The 21,520-nt window shown below is 35.8% G+C and overlaps 1 protein-coding gene across 3 annotated transcripts in view; it reads left to right on the top strand.

Moving 5' to 3' along the window:
* Positions 1-21,520, top strand: part of PLXDC2 (plexin domain containing 2) — a 473,425-nt gene that overhangs the window by 218,690 nt on the left and 233,215 nt on the right. For 2 of the 3 annotated variants that reach the window (NM_032812.9, XM_011519750.3), the window contains exon 3: positions 11,748-11,894. The exons of the other annotated variant lie outside the window; for it this stretch is intronic. In NM_032812.9, the coding sequence (NP_116201.7) occupies positions 11,748-11,894 (147 nt within the window). The remainder of the gene's footprint in view (positions 1-11,747; positions 11,895-21,520) is intronic. 3 annotated transcript variants of the gene reach the window in all.

Raw genomic sequence — 21,520 nt, forward strand, 5'->3', positions numbered from 1 at the left:
TTTGTAATCTTGAAAATAGAGGCTCGGAAAGTTATCTTTATTTGCAAAATGATGTGCAGAGGGGTAATGTAGTATTAGATTCTAACTCTATGGCAAACGACATCAAACCTCCTAGAAAAATTCCATTTACAGCTGATTAATTGCTTGTTAATCACTTCCTGAATCTGGGAGGCTAAGATTTTAAAGACATGGAGAAGTTAGAAACAAAGAGAAAGGGCTAAAGAAAAGTTTCATTCTCTGACATTAAATGAGTAATAGTATTTTAAAAAATCTGACTGATTAAAAGTATATTAGGCAAGATGTGGTGGCTCATGCCTGTAATCCCAGCATTTTGGGAGGTCGAGGAGGGTGGATCACTTGAGGTCGGGAGTTCGAGACCAGCCTGGCTAACATGGTAAAACCCCGTCTCTACTAAAACACAAAAATTAGCTGGGCATGGTGGTGCGTGCCTGTAATCCCAGCTACTCCCTAGGCTAAAGGAGGAGAATCGTTTGAACCCGGGAGGTGGAAGTTGCAGTGAGCCAAGATTGCACCACAGCACTCCAGCCTTGGTGACAGAGTGAGACTCTGTCTAAAATAAATAAATAAAAAATTTTAAAAAAGTATATGTTTACCTTTCACTGGAAATACCAGACTAAACAGTAACAGTTACTTTAGAAATGAGATTATTGGCCAAGTAGTCACAAGCTGGTAGAAAGAAACCACCCAGCTTTTCCACAGAAGTTGATTGTGTGAAATTCTTAACTGAGTTATAATTTTTAGAAGTTGATTCTGAGTAAATTTTTGCATAATTCTTTTAAAATTATACATAGAAGTCAGTTACCAATTTTTTGGTAAGAAATAGATCAAGACAGATAACTGTGGATTTTTCCAAAAGCCTCCTTATATTAGAAAGCTTGAATGGCAATTCTGATTAGTACTAGAAAATGACATGAGTTTTTGAAAGTAATATATCTGGCATCTGGGGCTTTTTTATAAATCCAAACTTAATAAAGGACCTGTATGTGTGTGCTGTGGACTAACGTTGTACCCCCCGCCCACTCCAAATGCATAGGTTGAAGCCCTAGGCCCCATTGTGACTGTATTTGGAATCAAGGCCTTTAGGAAGTAATTAAGGTTAAATGAGGCCATAAGGGTGGGGCCCTAATCCCATTAGATTTGTGTTCCTATAAGAGGAGGAGAAGACTCCAGGGAACTCTCTGTCCATCTTCTGAGGACACAGGGAGAAAGCAGCCCTTTACAAGCCAGGAGGAGAGCCCTCAATGAAAACAGAATCAGCTGGAATCTCGATCTTGGACTTCCAGCCTCCAGAACTGTGAGACATAAATTTCTGTTGTTTAAGTCATCCAGTCTATCATACATTGTTATGGTAGCCTGAACTAAGGCAGTATGTAAACAGTACACAATTTCCAGCCCTGTTAAATCTAGAACAGAAATTTCCATCTTTTACAAATGGTGATTTTTTTTTAATTATTAGAACATTTTAAGGCCCTCCATACCATAGTTGTTTACTTCCAGTGGATTGGAAAATCACAGTATCAAGAATTACAGAAATAATCAGTGGCTCTGAAAAATGAACATGCATTTTACCCACCACAATTATATTGTGCATTTGAAAGATAGTTGTGCACACATACGCAAGACCCATAATTTATTCCGTTTATATAGAAAATGCATAGGGTCTCCAAGATTCTTATATTCCCTTCAACACATTTGTGAATTTCGCCTCCAACTTTGGGGCCAATCTACAATTTATCAACAAGGATGATTATGTAACAATGCAATTGATACCAGTGCTAATTGTAACTAGCTACCTGTACTAGGTATTCAAACACATGCTTTTATCTCTTTTAGTGAGGACCGCTTAAATCAGGCATAGGGTCTTCTGAGCTATACCTAGCAATCACTTTCTGTTTGCCTTTTGGCCAAAAGATCTTAGAAGCTTAGTTAAAAGGCATTCCATGAGAGATCTAGTTCAACTCCTTCCTATACAGACTAAAGCCTGAAACTTACAGTGCCTATTTAGAGTCAGAAACTGTACTTCAACTCAAATCTCCTCTGAGCTACATTATTGTAATGTTAATTTTATGTATTTTAGTAGAAATCTCATACATATTCTAAACATTTTTTTATCACATTTTTTGTTGGGTTTGTGAAGCCCTCAGAAATCCCTTGTAAGTTGGCAGTTCACCTAACTCTGCCTCAGATTCTCTTTCTGGCATCTTCTTTTTTTTTTTAATTTTTATTTTTTATTGTACTTTAAGTTCTAGGGTACATGTGCACAACGTGCAGGTTTGTTACATATATATGCATGTGCCATGTTGGTGTGCTGCACTCATTAACTCGTGATTTACATTAGGTATATCTCCTAATGCTCTATCTCATCACTCCATGCCTGGAAATAGTCTTTGGGGCTCATTCTTGAAAAGGTTCAAGGTTTGTACCAGGGAGTAGATAAATAAAGGTGTAGTACCTAAGTAAAAAATACACTCTATTTCATTTAATAAATGAACCAACATAAACACATACTAATATACCTCAAAATGCCTGTAGATCTAGGCAAGCACTTAACTGAGCTGTGTTAATTTTGTTATGAATTTGAAAGATCACAAGGGTATTGTGCTTTCATGGCCATATAGCTCACCCAACTCGGCATAGCAGAGAGGACAATCTCATCTATGAGAGAGATGGTTACTGGGAAAATGGAAACTGTTTTATAATGGAAATACCGCTGGAATCCTGTCTTTAATGTGTTGTACAGTATTCTGACCTTACAGTAAATTTACACACATACACACACCCCACTCTACTAATCTAACGTTTTTAGGAGGGTCACTTAACTAAACTCTTCTGAAGTACATGCCTGTAATCCCAGCACGCTGGGAGGCTGAGGCGGGCGGATGACGAGGTCAGGAGATTGAGGCTAACATGGTGAAACCCCATCTCTACTAAAAATACAAAAAAATTAGCCGGAAGTGGTGGCACATGCCTGTAGTCCCAGCTACTCAGGAGGCTGAGGCAGGAGAATCGCTTGAACCTGGGAGATGGAGGTTGCAGTGAGCTGAGATCACGCCACCGCATTCCAGCCTGGGTGACAGAGCAAGACTCTGTCTCAAAAAAATAAAAAAAAAAATTTAAAAAAAAGAATAAAATAAATCATACCTAGAAAAGTCATACATAAGATATCGCTAGAGGGATAGACCATGCTGCAAATAGATCAAGTAGGTGAAAATTCTTGGGGAAATGATGAAGATATGGGTAAACAACTGTAACAACATGGAAAAGATGTGCATAATGAGAGCTGGTGCAATAATCTGATATAACCAACAGGAGACAGATGGATTGAATTTAATTCTTCTGACACTCTAACAGTAAATTGAATTGTATACCATGTAATTGTTCTTAGTATCTGAAGAAGGTATTAATGTAGTATTTGATGATGGGTACTGAAGTCTATTCAAAGCTAATATGTGATTGTTCTTATCATGCTGAAATTGTCTGGGCTTGATTTAAGGATGCTGAATACTTTATATTCTGTTCTTAGGCTTTTCAAATGTGTTTAAATAATGTTCATTTAATATAATTCTTTAGCAACCCAGTGAAAGAAAGCTAAATACTATCAATCATTCACTTTTTTTGATTAAAAAAATTAATGTGACTTAATTATCTGTCCACACCTCACTCCCTATAGGTCACCTTCTAAGGTAATTGAAAAAGGTGGAGATTCAGGGGTGGGAACTTTATCTCACATTGCTTTCAATGAGGTCTGTTTCCAACCCAGCCAGGAGTCGTTACTCATTCCACTGGTCAGCTCTTTAAGTCCAAGACCCCTACCTTTTTCTGTATGATTTTACTTCTGGCAAAAGAGGGAATCTATGTGCAGGAAAGGCCACACTGAAATGAACTGATTGGATAATTTACCTCACTAAAGTGACAGCTTGTTAGGGACCAAGCCAGTGAGAACTAGAGATCAGTTCACCTGTCTGCAAGTTTAATGTCTTCAACCACACTGTATCTTCCTCCTCCCCTTGGTTCCTTCCTGATCTACCCACAACTATGTGAGAATGTAGCTGTGTGTCCAGTTTACTGTCGATATAAATGAGAGAAAAAAGGAGATGATTTGGTGATGTTTCTATAAAACACTTACAGCAAAAAATCACTTTATAAAGATTTGAACTCCAATCTCTCATTCAAAATTTAGTGGAGATGTTTATTTTACGGCATTTCTTTTAATGCTGATTTTATTTACGGCAATTAGTAAAAAAAATTGCACTCTACAGCAGTTAAGTTATCGAAGCTGGTATTCGAAAGAAAAGGTAATGGAAATTTATATATCAGCTGTTTCGCAGAGCAATTTTAGGTTATTGACCTTGAATCTCCATATTGAATATCTGATCTATAGTATGTTAAAGGATTCTTTTTTGAGAACTTTTCAAAGTACTTATGATAGAAATTCTATAGAACTATTTACTGTGTATAGCATATGGCCTTGTGTCTCTTGATATATGTTGGCGGTTTGATTAAAAAAATCAACAATTAATACCTTTGAGCATCTTCACATATTTTCTAAAGCTTTATATAGAGAAAAAGAAAAAAGTAGTTTGCATATAATGTGTTTATTATAAAAAAATTCAAATAATACAGATGAGAGGGAGGAGAATCCTAAATTCCATCATCCAGAATTAACCAGTCAATATAAGGTAAATATCTTCCACCCATATCTTTAGACAAATTATCAGAGGAGAGAGAAATAGGTGAGTAGAAATATACACATTCATATTTGAATAGATGCAACTTTCTAAAACTGAGATTATAGCGTAAGTGCTGAGAAATAAAAATAAAATTCTAAGCATCCAACCAGCTGAATCGACCTTTCTTGGCCAAGAGGACCTCAGAGAAACCTTAACAGCTGAGTTCTCGGCCATGGTGGGGTGGGAGGTCAGTCATGCCTCAGTGCGCCCCTTCCTCATTAACCTTTAACCAGAATTCTTTCTAAGGAATAAGCAGAAATCAGCTCTGGAAAACAAGAAACAGATGACTCATTCCTTTATCACCCTTAGCCAATCATCTGAGGCAGCGACTGGATTCCCTCTCCCACTTTGCTGTTTCCACATTACCACTCGCCAGTTTCCCAATGCACCCCTTCCTGAAACTAGACTGCCACGTCTGGACAGATTTTCGCTGACTCAAGGAGGATGCCCAGTGAGATTTTTGGTGTCCTTGGCTTTACCTTTTGATGTTGGAGGGCCCAAAACTCCACCCTTGGATCATGCTAATACCATTTTTTGTACATGTGACCCTTGAAGAAGCACAAAGCTTGAATGCACTTGTACGTGTTTCTACTTTCATGAATACTCATGACTCCTCCTGTAGCTTATTGAATATGTATACTCAGCTACCCTAATTAACATAAATCCTCGTCTTGCTCTCGACTTTTGCTGGAGGATACCCTTTCCATTGCAGGGTGGCCAGACTGTAGCTTGCAGGAGCTGCCTTGCAGAATGACTGGTAGCTCTCAGCTGGTTTGTGAGTGGACTACATGAAATGCAATGTGAGATAAAGATCCTATCCCCTCCCTCACCTTTCCCAAGTTTATTAGAATTTGGAAGGGAGAAATAAAGCTTTCTTTCCAAATTTATGAACCTCATGATTCTTCAGTTGACAATACTATGTTTGAGGAAAATAATGGGCTTTCAGTGCCAGGTATACAACCTGAAGGCCACTAGTTGTAGACTAGTACCTTAAAAGGTTACCTAAAACATTAAAATTTTGAGTTTACTATTTTTAAAACTTTATTTTTGTACTTTCCGATTTATCTGTCAGTTGCCTGCTATGAAACATTAGATAGTTATTTTTATATTTTCATGGTTGATAGTAATAGCATTCTGATTTATAACCATAATAATGAAATGGTCATTTTTCCCTTTACATAATTTTCTTGGAGACAGTGCTCACCATCAGAAGATTTGCTATAGTTTCTCTCTTCCCATAGATAACCACATGCTGAATACAGCTAATAGTTACGGAATTTTTATTAGAGGTACATTGATCACCCATTGGTTGATTTAGTGTATAGTTAGGCATTACATTTTTAAGTTCTTTTTGGTGGCATATTCTCTGTATATTTGTATGTGTTAGAAATATGTGTGTTGCCTATATAGTTAAATTACAACTTGACTGAACAAAAAAATTCTTGAGTCACAACTTTATTCTCTGAGATTGCATAAACATTGTTATTATCAGATATTATGGAGAGGTACCAGGTACCAGCTTATTGAATTTTTTTCCTCCATATAGATAACTCAATTTATCTTTCTAGAGGCCTATAAGATTTCCTTGTTTAATCTATTGAAAACCTCAGTAGGAAATTTTGTAGTACTCAAAATTCTATGGCAAATTTTCTTGAGACATGATGTGCAAATTCAAGTCTTAATCTCAGAAAAATATTTTTCTAATATATCTTTAATTGTTTTCTACAACAACTACGTATGCACCTGATCTCCTTTTTTTTCCCCTGCAATTTATGTGATGACTTTTGTCTTGTCAGCTTGAGATGCCTTAACCAAAGATGGCAGGCTAGGTGGCTTAAAGAACAGAAATACTTTTTCTCCCAGTTCTGGCAGGTAGAGGTCTCAAATCAAAGTGCCAGCTGTTTGGGTTCTTAGTGAGGGCTCCCTTTCTGGCTTATGGACAGCCTCCTTCTGTATCCTCACATGAGAGAAAAAGAGAATTAAAAAGAGAGGGAAGGAGAGAAAATGAATCTCATATCTCTTCTTACAAGGACACTAATCCTATTGAATAAGGACCCCACTCTTATGATATTATTTAACCTTAATTACCTTCCTAAAGACTGTCTCCAAATACAGGCACACTGGGCATTGGGGCTTCCATTTACGAATTTTAGCAACACCAACATTCAATCCATAACATTCATCCCAGACATTTATTTCATTGTTCTTTTCCATTTCATGTTGTGTGTACCTCGGGGCTATTTCCTGTGTCCTGACTGGTAATTTAGTCATGCTTATTCTGGCCAGTAGTGGGTTCATCTCTGTAATTCTTTACCTGACTACTGCCAGTTCACTCTTTCTCTCCTGTTGTTATTTCATCGTGTCCTTTTGGTTTCTTATACCAGCATGTTTTTTTCTTAGAACACAGGGAACTCTTTTATTAACTCTATTTCTGAGGAGTATAATTTTCACAAGTAGTATTTTAAAATAGATTTACCTTTAAATGAACTGTGTAGCCCTTGTGAAATCACTCTTATAAGGATGCAATATATTTGTTAAGACTTGGCAAGAACCATTCAAATTATAATCTTCCTTTATTAATTAAGGAATGATCTTCAAGTGGTGGCCCATTGATTCAATATTAAATAATCTTACTAAGAATTTTCATTATGTTTTAAGTATCCATGTATATCAAATGACTACTACACTGATAGTCATACAATATTTATTTGATCTTTTTTGTTTGTTTGTTTGTTTGTTTTGAGTTCTAAATGAAATGAAGCTGGAGTTCAAATATCATTACTGCATGAGGCAATGTGAGGCATTCATAAACATTACCCCTCATAAAGTCAACACACCCATGCTAGAAAAGAAGGCAGCATTTGGGTTAGGAATGATGTAGATCGATTGCTACAGAATGGCTAAGCTGTAGTTATGATAACTTTTCCTCCGTATTTTTGGTGTAGGTCCTCTGTTTGTCTACAGCTGCACATTTCCATGCATTTTCGAGAAACATGGATTTATACGATTTAATACCACACATGGTGCCACCTACTTTCTCTAACAGTTGGTTTCCTAAATGAATTGGCAACTAGGCATATCACAGTAGTGCTTTGTTTTATTTTCTATGGTGTTAGAAATGCTTTACTTTTGAAAAGAAAATGAAAATCTTTGTACTCAAAGTGGCTTTTGACAACTCTTTAAGTGCCATTACTCCTAAAAAAGGATAAGACGTGTTTTGAATACTTTACTAGTGCTAAAATGTCACATTTTTGAGAAATCTATTTTATGGTTTTTCTGAATATCTGAACCAAACACCTCTCTGGAATTTAATAATGTGTGTCTCTGCATTCCTAAGTAAACAATAAATTGTCTTCCTTTTTGAATAAAAGTTGCCATGACAACTTGGCAAGCGTGGGCTCTAGAAGTCAAATACCAAGTTCTAGTATTTCGAAGATGTGATATTGTTTTTGGCAGGTCTGATTTAAGAAAAACTGAAGGTGTATTTTCACATAGTATGTCAGTGGTAGACTTCGTAATTAGACTAAATCGTGTATATTTTTGCAGGTAATTCATTATTTAAGCGCAATGATGTTCTTTATGATAACTTCAAGACTCTTTCTTAACTAATCACAGAAATCCAGAGATTAAGGAAAATGCCAAGGTTATTTTATAAATGCTGATTTCAAAAATTATACTGAACTCAATTGTGAAATTTTGACACCTTAAAGAAAATATCTATTTTGTAATATTCCCTATTTATAGGGAAATTTTGCAGCATCATAAAATCTGTTATGTAATTCACCTAAAGATTACATCTTTAACCTCAATGTTCCTGAAATCTTTGTAATAATACTGTCAATAGGGAAAAAATTTAAATTTTGATTTAAACACCGTGAATATTTTCTTCCAAACCACCTTTTATACCATTCCCTGAAAAATTAAATGAATTATTATTTTACATAATTTAATTTTTAATTTTTAAAAATTTTCAGTGAATGATATAAAGTGGTGGCTTTGAAGAAAATAGTCAATGAAATGAATTCTAGGTGGCCTTGTTCAAAGTTGCTTAAGTTTGGTTGCAAGTAAAAAGACCTGTTTTTTCAGTTATGATTCTTTTCGTTGACCATAACCTAATTCAAGGTGATTTAACAATAGAAAAAGATTCAAGGTTTCATGGAAGTGAACAAGTCCAGTAGTAGGTCACATCTAGATAGACTTGCGCAGGGATCTGGCTTTTTCCCCTTCCTTCCTTCCTTCCTTCCTTCCTTCCTCCCTCCCTCCCTCTCTCTCTTTTTCCTTCCTTCCTTCCTCTTTCTTTCTTTCCTTCTTTCTTTCTTTCTCTCTCTCTCTCTCTCTGTCTTTCTTTCTTTCTTTCTTTCTTTCTTTCTTTCTTTCTTTCTTTCTTTCTTTCTTTCTTTCTTTCTTTCTTTCTTTCTTTCTTCTTTCTCTCTCTCTCTTTCTTTCTTTCCTTCTTTTTCTTGAGTCTTTCTCTGTTGCCCAGGCTGGAGTGTAACAGCACGATCTAGGCTCACTGCAAACTCCGCCTCCCAAGTTCAAGCAGTTCTCCTGCCTCAGCCTCTGACTAGCTGGGATTACAGGCATCTGCCATCACGCCTGGCTATTTTTTGTATTTATAGCGGAGACGGGGTTTCACCATTTTGGCTAGGCTGTTCTGGAACTCCTGACCTCAGGTGATCCACCCGCCTCGGCCTCCCAAAGTGTTGTGATTACAGGCATGAGCCACCGCGTCCAGCCTGCAATTCTTTCTTTAGCTATGTGTTTGCCTCATCTTCAGACAGAATTTCCCCATAGTAGCAAAATGGAGCCAGTGATTCCAGGTCTCACACCCCCACATCTCCACAATCAGAACAAGGGAAATGATCACTTCTCTACCTAAATTCCTGAATGTCTCAGTAATTGCTCCTTCTTAGGTTATCTGCTCATGCATGCCACCAACCACTGTGACCAGTGTAATAACATGAGCAAAATGGCTTGTGCCCAATGTCAAGGAAGGTTCCCACCTCCACATCTTCTGATGGTGAAGCCCAATATACACAGATGAGTAGTATACATACCGCGGACACATTCACAGTGTGTTTTACCCTCAGACAACCCAAACTATCCGTGTCATTATGAGGTTCTGAAACAGAGGGAGGGCTGGAAACCCATTGAAGTTTCAGAGCTTTTGGGGGCTGCATGATCTTCCTTATTCTTTCTTTACATCTACTTTGTTCTTCTTTCTCTGCAGACCTTTCTTTTCTTTCACCAAGGTATACATATAATTTGTGTTCCATACCCAGAGTTTAATTGCAGATATACCTAGGGTTTTTTGTTTGTTTTGTTTTGTTTTTCTGTCTCCCAGGCTGGAGTGCAGTGGTACGATCTTGGCTCACTGCAACCTCTGCCTGCAGAGTTAAGCAGCTCTCCTACCTCAGCCTGTCAAGTAGCTGGGATTACAAGCACCCGCCACTGCACCCGGCTAATTTTTGTATTTTTAGTAGAGACTGTGTTTTGCCATGTTAGCCAGGCTGATCTCAAATTCCTAACCTCAGGTGATCCGCCCGCCTTGGCTTCCCAAAGTGCTGGGATTACAGGCATGAGCCACTGTGCTAGGGTCTTCATTACATAAAAAAACTTACTGTTAACATTTAATCACTATTCTCAACATTTACACTTGGATCATAGTCTCTCTTTTAGTCATGAGGCAAAATCTATTTAGAATACTGCATAGAATATTCTTTTCCTTTTTGTAATCAGTTACATATATATCTTGATTGATGATTTGTTAAAAAAAAATACATGGGATTCATGTTTTGACTGGATTTCAGGAATAATTTTATTACATTTAATTATCACTTAGATGATAAATGAATTACACAAAATTTACATCCCAAACCTTATTATTCAAATCATAGACCTATTTATTCAACATTTTTTCTTACATTTACCTGAATGTTTTAAAATATTTTTTGTCTACTAACTCCTCAAATTGATTTCATGGTTATAAAACATTGCAATCAGAATTAGCCAATAATTATATAATTTTTCTGGATATTTCTCATCAAAATTGCCTCTTAAAACATTTACATCTCCTCACTGAGTGGGAACCATGAAGAATAAAGGCTTTGTGACAGGCACTAAGGTAACACCAACAATGAGAATTCAAATAAAAGTAGAATGTAGTAACTCAAATTAAAGGAAAAAATATATTGTGTCCATTTCTAGGACCATTAGCTGAAAGCAGGCCCTGATATAACCTTATTTTTAAAGAAAAGAAGTTTGAATTTGTTATTACTAATTGTAATTATACTTTAGGTTTTTAGTAAAAAGTTCAAAAGAGACATTTTTGTTCAAAAGGACCTTTTTGTTCTGGTGACAAATTAGATCTTTGTACCCAGTATATATTTCCTTCCAAGTCTTGTATATTTAACAATTTCCTCTAAAGAAGACTACTAATTTTATACACACACAAACACACACACACATAAAATTCAAAACTTAGAAGGAAATATATATTGAAATTTTTAAATATGCAAAACATTTAATCATTATTCTCCACGTTTACATTTGGATCATAGTATTTCTTTTAGTCACAAGGCAAAATCAATTTAGAATACTGCATAGAATATTCTTTTCCTTTTTGTAATCAATTACATATATATCTCGATTGATGATTTGTGAAAAAATACATGGGATTTATGGTTTGCCTGGATTTCAGTAATCATTTTATTTTATCTGATTAGCACTTAGATAATAAATGAACTAGACAAAATTCACATTCTAAATTTTATTATTCAAATCATAGAGCTATTTATTAACATTTTTTTCTTACAGTTCGTATGTGTGTGTGTGCACATTTACTTATTTAATCCAAATTCACTTCTCCTAGAGTATAGTTAAATCATTTTGCTCTTTTAAAAACTATTAATACTCTTGAGTTCAATAGGATTTTTTTTAAAGAATTGTAGGTAAAACATCTCGGTTCTTGATATACATTATTATCTATTATTGCAGGAGGATACAGACCACAATTACTATATATCTCGAATATATGGTCCATCTGATTCTGCCAGCCGGGATTTATGGGTGAACATAGACCAAATGGAAAAAGATAAAGTGAAGATTCATGGAATATTGTCCAATACTCATCGGCAAGCTGCAGTAAGTGTTTGGACATTCAGGGTTCATTTTACCTACTGTGAAAAAATAATTGCTTTAATTGGCCTACAACCATTTCTTTTATGAGTTTGATAATTAAATATTAGAATGGCCTTATCTGTGGTAATCGCTTTTCAAGTGTATTCAGTTCTGTAATTGTAATTTAGATTGATTACTGCATATAAGATATTAAAGAAAATGAAATAGAATTGTTTTGATAAACTGCCATTAATTGAACCAATTTTCTCAGTATATCTGATGAATGTATATTGGATTCTAAATTGAGCTTTATCTTGGATTATTTTTAGTTTTCTTATAATCCATGAGTGTATAGAACATTTTTAAAAATTACTTGAATTTGGTATCTTCCCATTTACATGGGTTTATTGCTGTTGGTCTTGGATTTAACCAAAGATTTAACCGAAGTCATTTATGACTTAGATAACATATATAGACCAAATTATGATCTTAAATGAAGACGTTTAATATAAAGAAAAATAATAAAATATAGAAAGCATCAGACTGATATTTTAAACCTGGACTCATTATTTCCTAAGTGTGTCTCCTGAAATAAATAATTTAACTATTCTGAGGTGCTTTCTGCATGTGTAAACTGGAGATGAGAAGGAATATTAATACCAGCCTCCCTTTCCTTACATGGTCATAAATAGCCTATTCAAGGGCCAGCCTGAATGCTCAAATGCATTAGCTTTTCCAATCTCCACAACAATCCTATGATTTAAATATTATTACATCACACATTGCAGATAAGAGAACGGAGGAGTCTTGGAAAATTCAGATAACCTGCCCAAGGTCTCCACTAGAAAGTGGTAAACTGAGGTGTTAACCTAGGTAGCAAAGCTGATGCTCAAATTGTGTGTGTAAAATTTATCACACTTGGTTCTCAGAATGTTCTTTGGTCATCATTTTATGATAAATGCCAGATTTCACATTTTAAAGGGTATTTGGTTTTGCTGGCCTGGGTAACAGTGGTGATAGTGTCATTGATGAAGCCATGAGATGTTCAGTTAAGTATGACCTGAAGTGAAAAGAAAACAACTTTAACGTTTCAAGTGCTTTTGTCATTATTGATATAAACACAGGACTAATAGAGTCAATGGCTGAAGTTATTTAAAGAGGCATTGATTTGATAAATGTTAAATATCAAAATTTTTGGCAGTGGTCTTCCTTGTTTATATGTAGATGTTCCTGTTATCAGGAGATCCATTGCTAAAAGCTAAATGGAAATTAAGAATAGTATACCATGATGATTCACTGAATTTTCGGTGTAGAGCACATGCTTTCTGCGTCTGAGAAGCAAATGAAGTAGCTGCCTTTCCTTGCTAAATTCCATCATCCACCCCCACCCCAGTTTTTTCTATATTCAGGCAACCCCAGGTAGGCAAGATGACAGATTTAGAAATAATTCACAGTGGAATTTCCAACAGATTGTCAAAAGAAGAGAAAATGATAAAGATTAGATTTTAACAATGTCTTTCTGGGATCTATTGCATTTGACAACCTTCCTACTATGGCATTTATAGTGTTTAATAGCATAAAATATACTTCGTGGAATTTTGAATGTTGGTGTATGCACATGGAGATTCTGTGACGTGGCCTAGTCCTAGTGTCAGCCACTATGGGTGACATCTATAGGCAGAGAAAGGAGTTCCTCAGTTAAAGTATTAGCTGATTTCTTCTTCTGTACAAATATGGCTACCATCTGTCTCCTCTGTGCCGCCCCCCAAGGTAAGACAGTTTGTGTCCTGCCTCTCCTTAAAGAAGCCTGTTCTCTTTGCAATAGGTTTTACTTGGTTGCCTTGTGACAGCTCTCTGATTGTGTCATGAAAAATGATAATACTGTAGACAGTCCATTTTTTTCTTATTGTTAGTGTGGCAGTGACGTTGTTGCTTTTAACACTTGAGGTTGCCTCATACATAAATGGAAGGACTTGAACTTCTGGTTGTAACTTACCTGGTGCTCTTTATGTTGATTGTTAAATATATACAATTGTTAGAGGTTTTTATTTTAGATACCCTGCCATTGTCATAGCTTGGGTTCTTGGTTACCCATGAGTATTGAAGCCATTAACAAACATTTCTTCAGAGTTAGAAATTGGTGGAAAAAGCTATCAACAAAATTCAACACCCTTCATGTTAAAAACACTCAAGAAACTAGGCATGGAAGGAACATACCTCAAAGTAATAAGAGCCATCTATGACAAACCCACAGCTAACATTATACCGAATGGGCAAAAGCTGAAACATTCCCCTTGAAAACTGGCACAACACAAGGATGACCTCTGTCGTCATTCTTATTCAACATAGTATTGGAAGTGCTAGCCAGAGCAATCAAGCAAGACAAAGAAATAAAGAGCATCCAAATAGGTAGAGAGGAAGTAAAACTATCCCTGTTTTCAGATGACATGATTCTATATCTAGAGAACCCCATAGTCTAGGCCCAAAAACTCCTTTAGCTGATAAACAACTTCAGCAAGTTTCAGGATACAAAATAAATGTTCAGAAATCACAAGCATTCCAATACACCACCAACAGCCACACCAAGAGTCAAATCGGGAAGGCAATCTCATTCACAATTGCCACAAAAACAATAAAATACCTAGTAATACAGCTAACCAGGGAAGTGAAAAATCTCTACAATGAGAATTACAAAACACTGCTCAAAGAAATCAGAGAAGACACAAACAAATGGAAAAAAACATCTCATGCTCATGGATAGGAAGAATCAATATCATTAAAATGGTCATACTGCCCAAAGCAATTTACAGATTCAATGCTATTCCTATCAAACTACCAGTGACATTCTTCATAGAAGTAGAAAAATTTATTTAAAATTCATATGGAACCAAAAAAGAGCCCAAATAGCCAAGGCAATTCTAAACAAAAAGAACAAAGCTGGAAGCATCACACTGCCCAACTTCAAATTATACTGCAGGGCTGAAGTAACCAAAACAGCATGTTACTGGTACAAAAACAGTCACACAGACCAATGGAACAGAATAGAGAGCCCAGAAATAAGGCCACATACCTATGACCATCAGACCTTCAACAAACCTGACAAAAACAAGCAATGGAGAAAAGACTCCCTGTTCAATAAATGGTGCTGGGATAACTGGCTAGCCATATACAGCAGATTGAAGCTGGATCCCTTCCTTACACCATATACAAAAAATCAATTCGAGATGGACTAAAGACTTAGATGTAAAACTCAAAACTATACAAACCCTGGAAGACAACCTAGGCAATACCATTCTGGACATAGTAACAGGCAAAGATTTTATGACAAAGACACCAAATGCACTCACAATGAAAGCAAAAATTAACAAATGGGATCTAATTAAACTAAAGAGCTTCTGCACAGCAAAAGAAACTATCAATAGGGTAAAGAGACATCCTACAGAATGGGAGAAAATATTTGCAAGCTATGCATCTGACAAAGGTCTAATATCCAGCATCTATAGGGAACTTAAACAAATTTACAAGAAAAAAACGCATTAAAAAGTGGGCAAAGACATGAACAGACACTTTTCAAAAGAAGACATACGTGCAGCCAACAAGCATATGAAAAAAAGCTCAATATCACTGATGGTTACAGAAATGCAAAACAAAACCCCAATGAGATATCATTTCACACCTATTAGAATGGCTATTATTAAAAAGTAAAAAAAAAAACAAAAACAAAACAAACAAACAAAAAAAAACAGATGCTGGTGAGGCTGCAGATTAAAGGGAACACTTATACACTGTTGGTGATGGTGTAAATTAGTTCAACCATTGTGGAAAGAAGTATGGCGATTCCTCAAAGACCTAAGGACAGAAATACCATTCAACCCAGCAATCCTATTACTGGGTATATAGCCAGAAGAATATAAATCATTCTACCATAAAGATACACACATGTGAATGTTTATTGCAGCACTATTCACAAAAGCAAAGACATGGAATCAACCTAAATGCCCATCAATGACAGATTGGATAAAGAAAATGTGGTACATATACACTATGGAATACTATGCAGCCATATAAAAAGAACAAGATCATGTCTTTTGTGGGAACATGGATGGAACTGGAGGCCATTATCCTTAGCAAACTAACACAGGAACAGGAACCAAATACACCATGTTCTCACTTATAAGTGGAGCTAAAAGATGAGAAGTTATGAACACAAAGTAGGGAAAAACAGACGCCGGAGTCTACTTAAGGGTGGATGGTAGGAGGAGGCAGAGGAGCAGAAAAGGTAACAATTGGTTGCTAGGCTTAATATTTGGGTGATGAAAGAATCCATACAACAAATTCCTATAACATCAGTTCTCCTGTGTAACAAACTTTCACACTTACTGCTGACCCTAAAATAAAGGTTAAATATATATATATATATATATATATATATATATATATATATATATATATGTGCTATTATGGTTATATTGTATCTCAAGATGCAATATACACTTAGGGTTGGATTCATTGTTAATGACAGTGGAGGTATAAACCCTATTTTTAATACTCTTTCTCTTAATTTTGAATATGTTTGGCCTCTGTCTTGTCAGATCTGATTCCATCATTATAGTTTTTACTTCATGATATGTTTCATGCAAGGCTGACTCAGCGTAGAGCTTTGCTAGCCAGTCTTGTGCTCTCCCGTGCTTTTATTTATTAGTATAAAAAACAAATCTCTTATTTGGTAGGTCTAGGATGGGCCAGAAAATTTGCGTTTCTGACAAATTCCAAGGTGATGCTCATGCCACTAATCCAGGGACCATGCTTGGACTCTATAGCAGGGGTTGGCAACCTGTTTCTCAAGAGGGCCAGATAATATTTTAGTTGTTACAGGCCTTATGGTCTCTGTCACAACTACTTGACTCTACTGTTATAGCTCAATAGCCATAGACAATATGTAAATGAACAGACATGGTTGTGTTCCAGTAAAACTTTATTTATGGAAATAAAGAAGACATTGGTCCTGTATCTACTTTGTTATCACTCTCAACAGAAAACACACACACACCGCACACGACCACACACACAGTTAAAACACACTGACACACACTTCCATTTATAACAACCAGATTGGTAATATTAACTAGTTTCCATTTGAAAAAAAATGCTATGTGAACTCCTTCATTTAAATAAGCTTTACTGCTTAGATCTTATAAATTTATTTGCTAGAATATTTTTTAAATTCCCTACATTCTTCTTTCATAAATGCAATTACTAAATATTAGCCTGAGCTTTCCAAATTGTATAGAGTAATCCATATTTTAGTATTTCCTCAACTGGACTTTCTACCTTTCCAATCCTGCCTGGTTCTCTGTTTCATTTCCATTGTGACTTTCTGAGAATAAAATCAAGTAGTTACAAAAGATTACAAAATTTTAATATTAAGGTAATATTGTGACCAGGGGGCTGAGTAATGTCCACATACACGTCCACATGCAACAAACACACACATACTTCATATTACTGAGGTGGTTAAGCACGTAGGAAAATGGAAAATGGCAAACACTAATCCAAACCTTATTAATTAGCTTTGCTCTTGTTCTCGTTGACATGAAAAGCTCTCTGGTAATTTGGCTGGAAACAGGATTTAAATTTAAGCTCCAAGGGGAAGAAGGGAGTTTCTCGAATCTTATCAGCAGTTCATGTAATTTGCATGCCCAAGAATATATATTCCGTCAACAAATTATGCAAAAAAAAAAAAAAAAAAAGAAAGAAAGAAAAAAAGAAAAGAAAGATTTAGCTAGGGATAGTCCCAGGGCCAGAGGGCTAACGATTTAGCCTTGAGTAAGCAAGAGGTGGAGTGAGAAGGCAAGAATGTTGACCCAGAAAAGGCAACTTCCCACACACTTCCCTCCTTCTTGAAATGGAAGACAGGAGGCTACAAGAGATGTTTTACCTAGGAACATTTTTTTAAAGAAATATTTCCCTCTTTACCATCACTGCATATAAATGTGGTCCAAACACTATTTTGGAATCTTAGATAATATTCTTGGAAGAGGAGGAGGATGGAAATAAAGTAAGTTTTCCCTTTTCTTCCATCCACAATAATATCTTCTAATTTCAGAGCAGAATAAAACTTAGAAATCATTTAATTCACATATTTGACATGTCCAAATATATTGGTATCTCTTTCCTTTTATCATCTCAGCCATAATCATTAGTATTTGCATGACATCTGTGTATACTGGAATTTGATTACATGTGCTTTCAAATCTCTCCATTGTCATTTTTGTTTAAATAACATTTCTTAAATCATTGCAAAATAAACAGATGCTAAAACCTAAGTTTTGCAGTTGACAAATTAAGGCAAAGACCATGTCTTTCTAGATAAAGCAAAGTGAAGAATTGGTATGGGTTCCTACCATAGGTAAGCAACGAGGCAGGCACTTTATATTAAAATTCTCACAGTTATCTGGGTATTTTGTCCTTCATTCAGAGCCACACAGTTTTCAGTTTGCAAATCTAAAAGTTTCTGACTATAAACCTAGAAACCAGCCTGGACTTGTTCTTTTCCCTCTTGGTAGACATTTCAAATTCCACGTTTTTGTGATTTTCCTCTATATTTCTACGTCCATGTTATTTAATTTATTTCTGGACACACAGTTTGATTCAACTGCCAGACATATTAGAATTATTTTGTCTTCTGAAATGACAGTTGATGACATTCTGATTCACAACTCCTACAGATATATCTCTGTCCTGGTGGAAGGAGTCCAGTGTTTGAAGTTAGGAGACCTTATCTCCAACACTTATTTTGGTGGATTCTGGCCTCTTTGCACCTCAATTTTGTAACCTGGAAGAAAGGGGGTAAAAATGCCTGCCTTTACTGCCTCGCAGTGCGTTGTGGAGAATAAAAATGAAATAGTTATAAAAGAACACTGAAAACTTCAACAAAACCATACAGTTCCTGAGTATTATTGTTTGAGAGTTCTAATTCTTTACAACAAAAAAATAATAACCCCTGTCAAAGAAAGTAGTTAAAGCATTAAAGCCAGATTGTATTTAGGGCTATTGCAATGAGGGAAAGAACCTTGATGCAGAACTGGGCTCAGTTCTGAATGTAGCATGAGCAAGACGGAAAATTTGGCCAAGAGCAGAGTGGGCGTCAGTGGAGGGCGTCAGATGTGAGAAGTTAGTGGTGATTGTGCCCAAACTGAGTTGTTAGGATTTTTACTGAAGGAGGGTCAGGATGATTAGATAGCAAGGGTGGGGGATGAAGGTTTGATCCGTATTGAGGATGGTCAGATAGCAAGGGTGGGGAGTCTCGCTAAACTGACTTAGCATCTTGTCATTCCCGGGTAAGTTAATACCTGAGTCTCTCTAAGAGTCTCTCTCAGATCAATAAATTTGTAGATGCGTAAATATGGATGGATGGATGGATGGATGGACAGATGGATGGATGGATGACGGATGGAAGAATGGGTAGAGATATAGGTATAGGATAGATGGATGGGTAGATGGAAAGATAGCTAGGTAGACAGATATATTAATAGATGGATGTGAGTTCATGTCCTTTGTAGGGACGTGGATGAAGCTGGAAACCATCGTTCTCAGCAAACTATCGCAAGGACAAAAAACCAAACACCGCATGTTCTCACTCATAGGTGGGAATTGAACAATGAGAACACATGGACACAGGAAGGGGAACATCACACACCGGGGCCTATTGTGAGGTGGGGTGAGGGGGGAGGGATAGCATTAGGAGATATACCTAATGTTAAATGACGAGTTGATGGGTGCAGCACACCAACATGGCACATGTATACATATGTAACTAACCTTCACGTTGTGCACATGTACCCTAAAACTTAAAGTATAATAATAAAAAAAACCAGATAGATGGATGGATAGATAGGTAAAGATGCCTGATAGGTCTATATATTTCTATTTATATCTTTCTATGTATATATTTTTGCCAAACAATTGCCAATATACTGTTTGCCAGACATAAACATACTCTGGCTTAAATATTTTTTTATCTTTCTGTATGTTGGTAGGAAGATTGATTCTTTAAATATGAAACACCAGCAAAATGAAATGGTTGAAGTGTTGTTCTCTGTCTATCTCACTCTATATCTGTCATAATGCAGGTAAGGTTTTTGATGAAACTTGTATGACTTTTTATGTGTTGATTGTTTAAAATTTTTATATTGAACTGTCCTTGATGACATTTCTGACTACTTGAATATACATAGAAAATTTCATTTAAAAAATTAAGTTTTCTGGAGGGTTCTTTTGTTCCCTTCAGGAAAATAACTCATTGCTTCAGCTAGCATTACCATGGGTCTCATATTTGCATAATGTTTATGTTGGGATAAGTAAATTTAGCTGTTTATGGCGACTTTAGTAAGTTGGTTTTTCATATTGGATATATTTATTTTTTTCTTTGCGTCCAAAAATCTGTTGATAAGTGCTCATTTTTCAAAATGATTAAATTGAAAGGCAGTTTAATTTACTTTCTCTATTAGGCTATTATCTAGACTGCACATTTTTGCCTGAGTTCTGTTCATAATGTCAAACAGTAGGTTGCTTTTTATTTACTCTTACGTTTGACTGGTTGAATAAACTTGCTGCATTCTGTCTTTTGAGTTGCTTCAATTCAAGTGAGACACAAGTTTATCAACCTGGTCTTACTTGTCTTTGCTTGTAGGATTTTCCTCAAGTTTGATAACAGATTGGGATAAGTTGTATCTGCCTATGTCTCTTTAGCTTAATTTCAGCTTAATAAAGTATTTTACATACATAAAGGAAGAAATATACTGGACATAATGTAATATTTTATTCAATACTATTCATACTTTTGCTCTAATCAAATTCTAAATACTCAGAACATTCGTATAGTTATAAAATATTAAAGGAATTCTCTTTGGATATTTAAAAGGTGTGTTCTGGTCTTCAACTTCCTAAGAAACAGATGTACATTCCAAAGTAATCATAGTTTAATTTGTTTAAAAAATAGTAGGGATTCAAAAGCATAGGATTTGGCATCATCGGATCCAAATTCAAGTTTATTACAACTATGAGACCTTGGGCAAATCCCTAAATTCCCTGTCAATTTCATCCTGTACTATGTAGTTTTGATAGTGATGTCTGTCCTGCCTACCACATACAATATATTCAAATGAGATTTTATGGCACTTTATAGTTACTTATGTAGTTTAACAAATTCTACCATTAATTCATTTTACTTGAATTATACTTAGGTCACTTACCAAACTAGAGGTTAATCCCCTTTGTCCCAAGTATTATTCCAGGGCCTGACTCTTTTTCATTGCACAAAATTAACATGATTAGAGTGGCTGAATTGTATTTCTCTGCATGCCTGGGAAATGGGCTGGTCTACCAGCCTGGAAGCCAATAAGTACATGGAACCATCTACCCCTGTCCTGCCGATGGCACTCACAACAGATTAAAAATTCCTTAAGCCCACCTAATATGCTGAAGTTAACCAACTCCTTTTACTGACATAATTACATAAATACATGCATATTACTAATAATTGAATCTACCCTTACTGTTCTTCCTGAATCTAGGAACCACATTTTAGACATGGAAAGGACTTTGGAGAGCCTTGAGGACAGCTGCCTTAAGAAATTCACATTGATCCA

Source organism: Homo sapiens, chromosome 10 (genome assembly GCF_000001405.40).
Source record: "Homo sapiens chromosome 10, GRCh38.p14 Primary Assembly".
In the NCBI taxonomy this organism is placed as follows: Eukaryota; Metazoa; Chordata; class Mammalia; order Primates; family Hominidae; genus Homo; species Homo sapiens.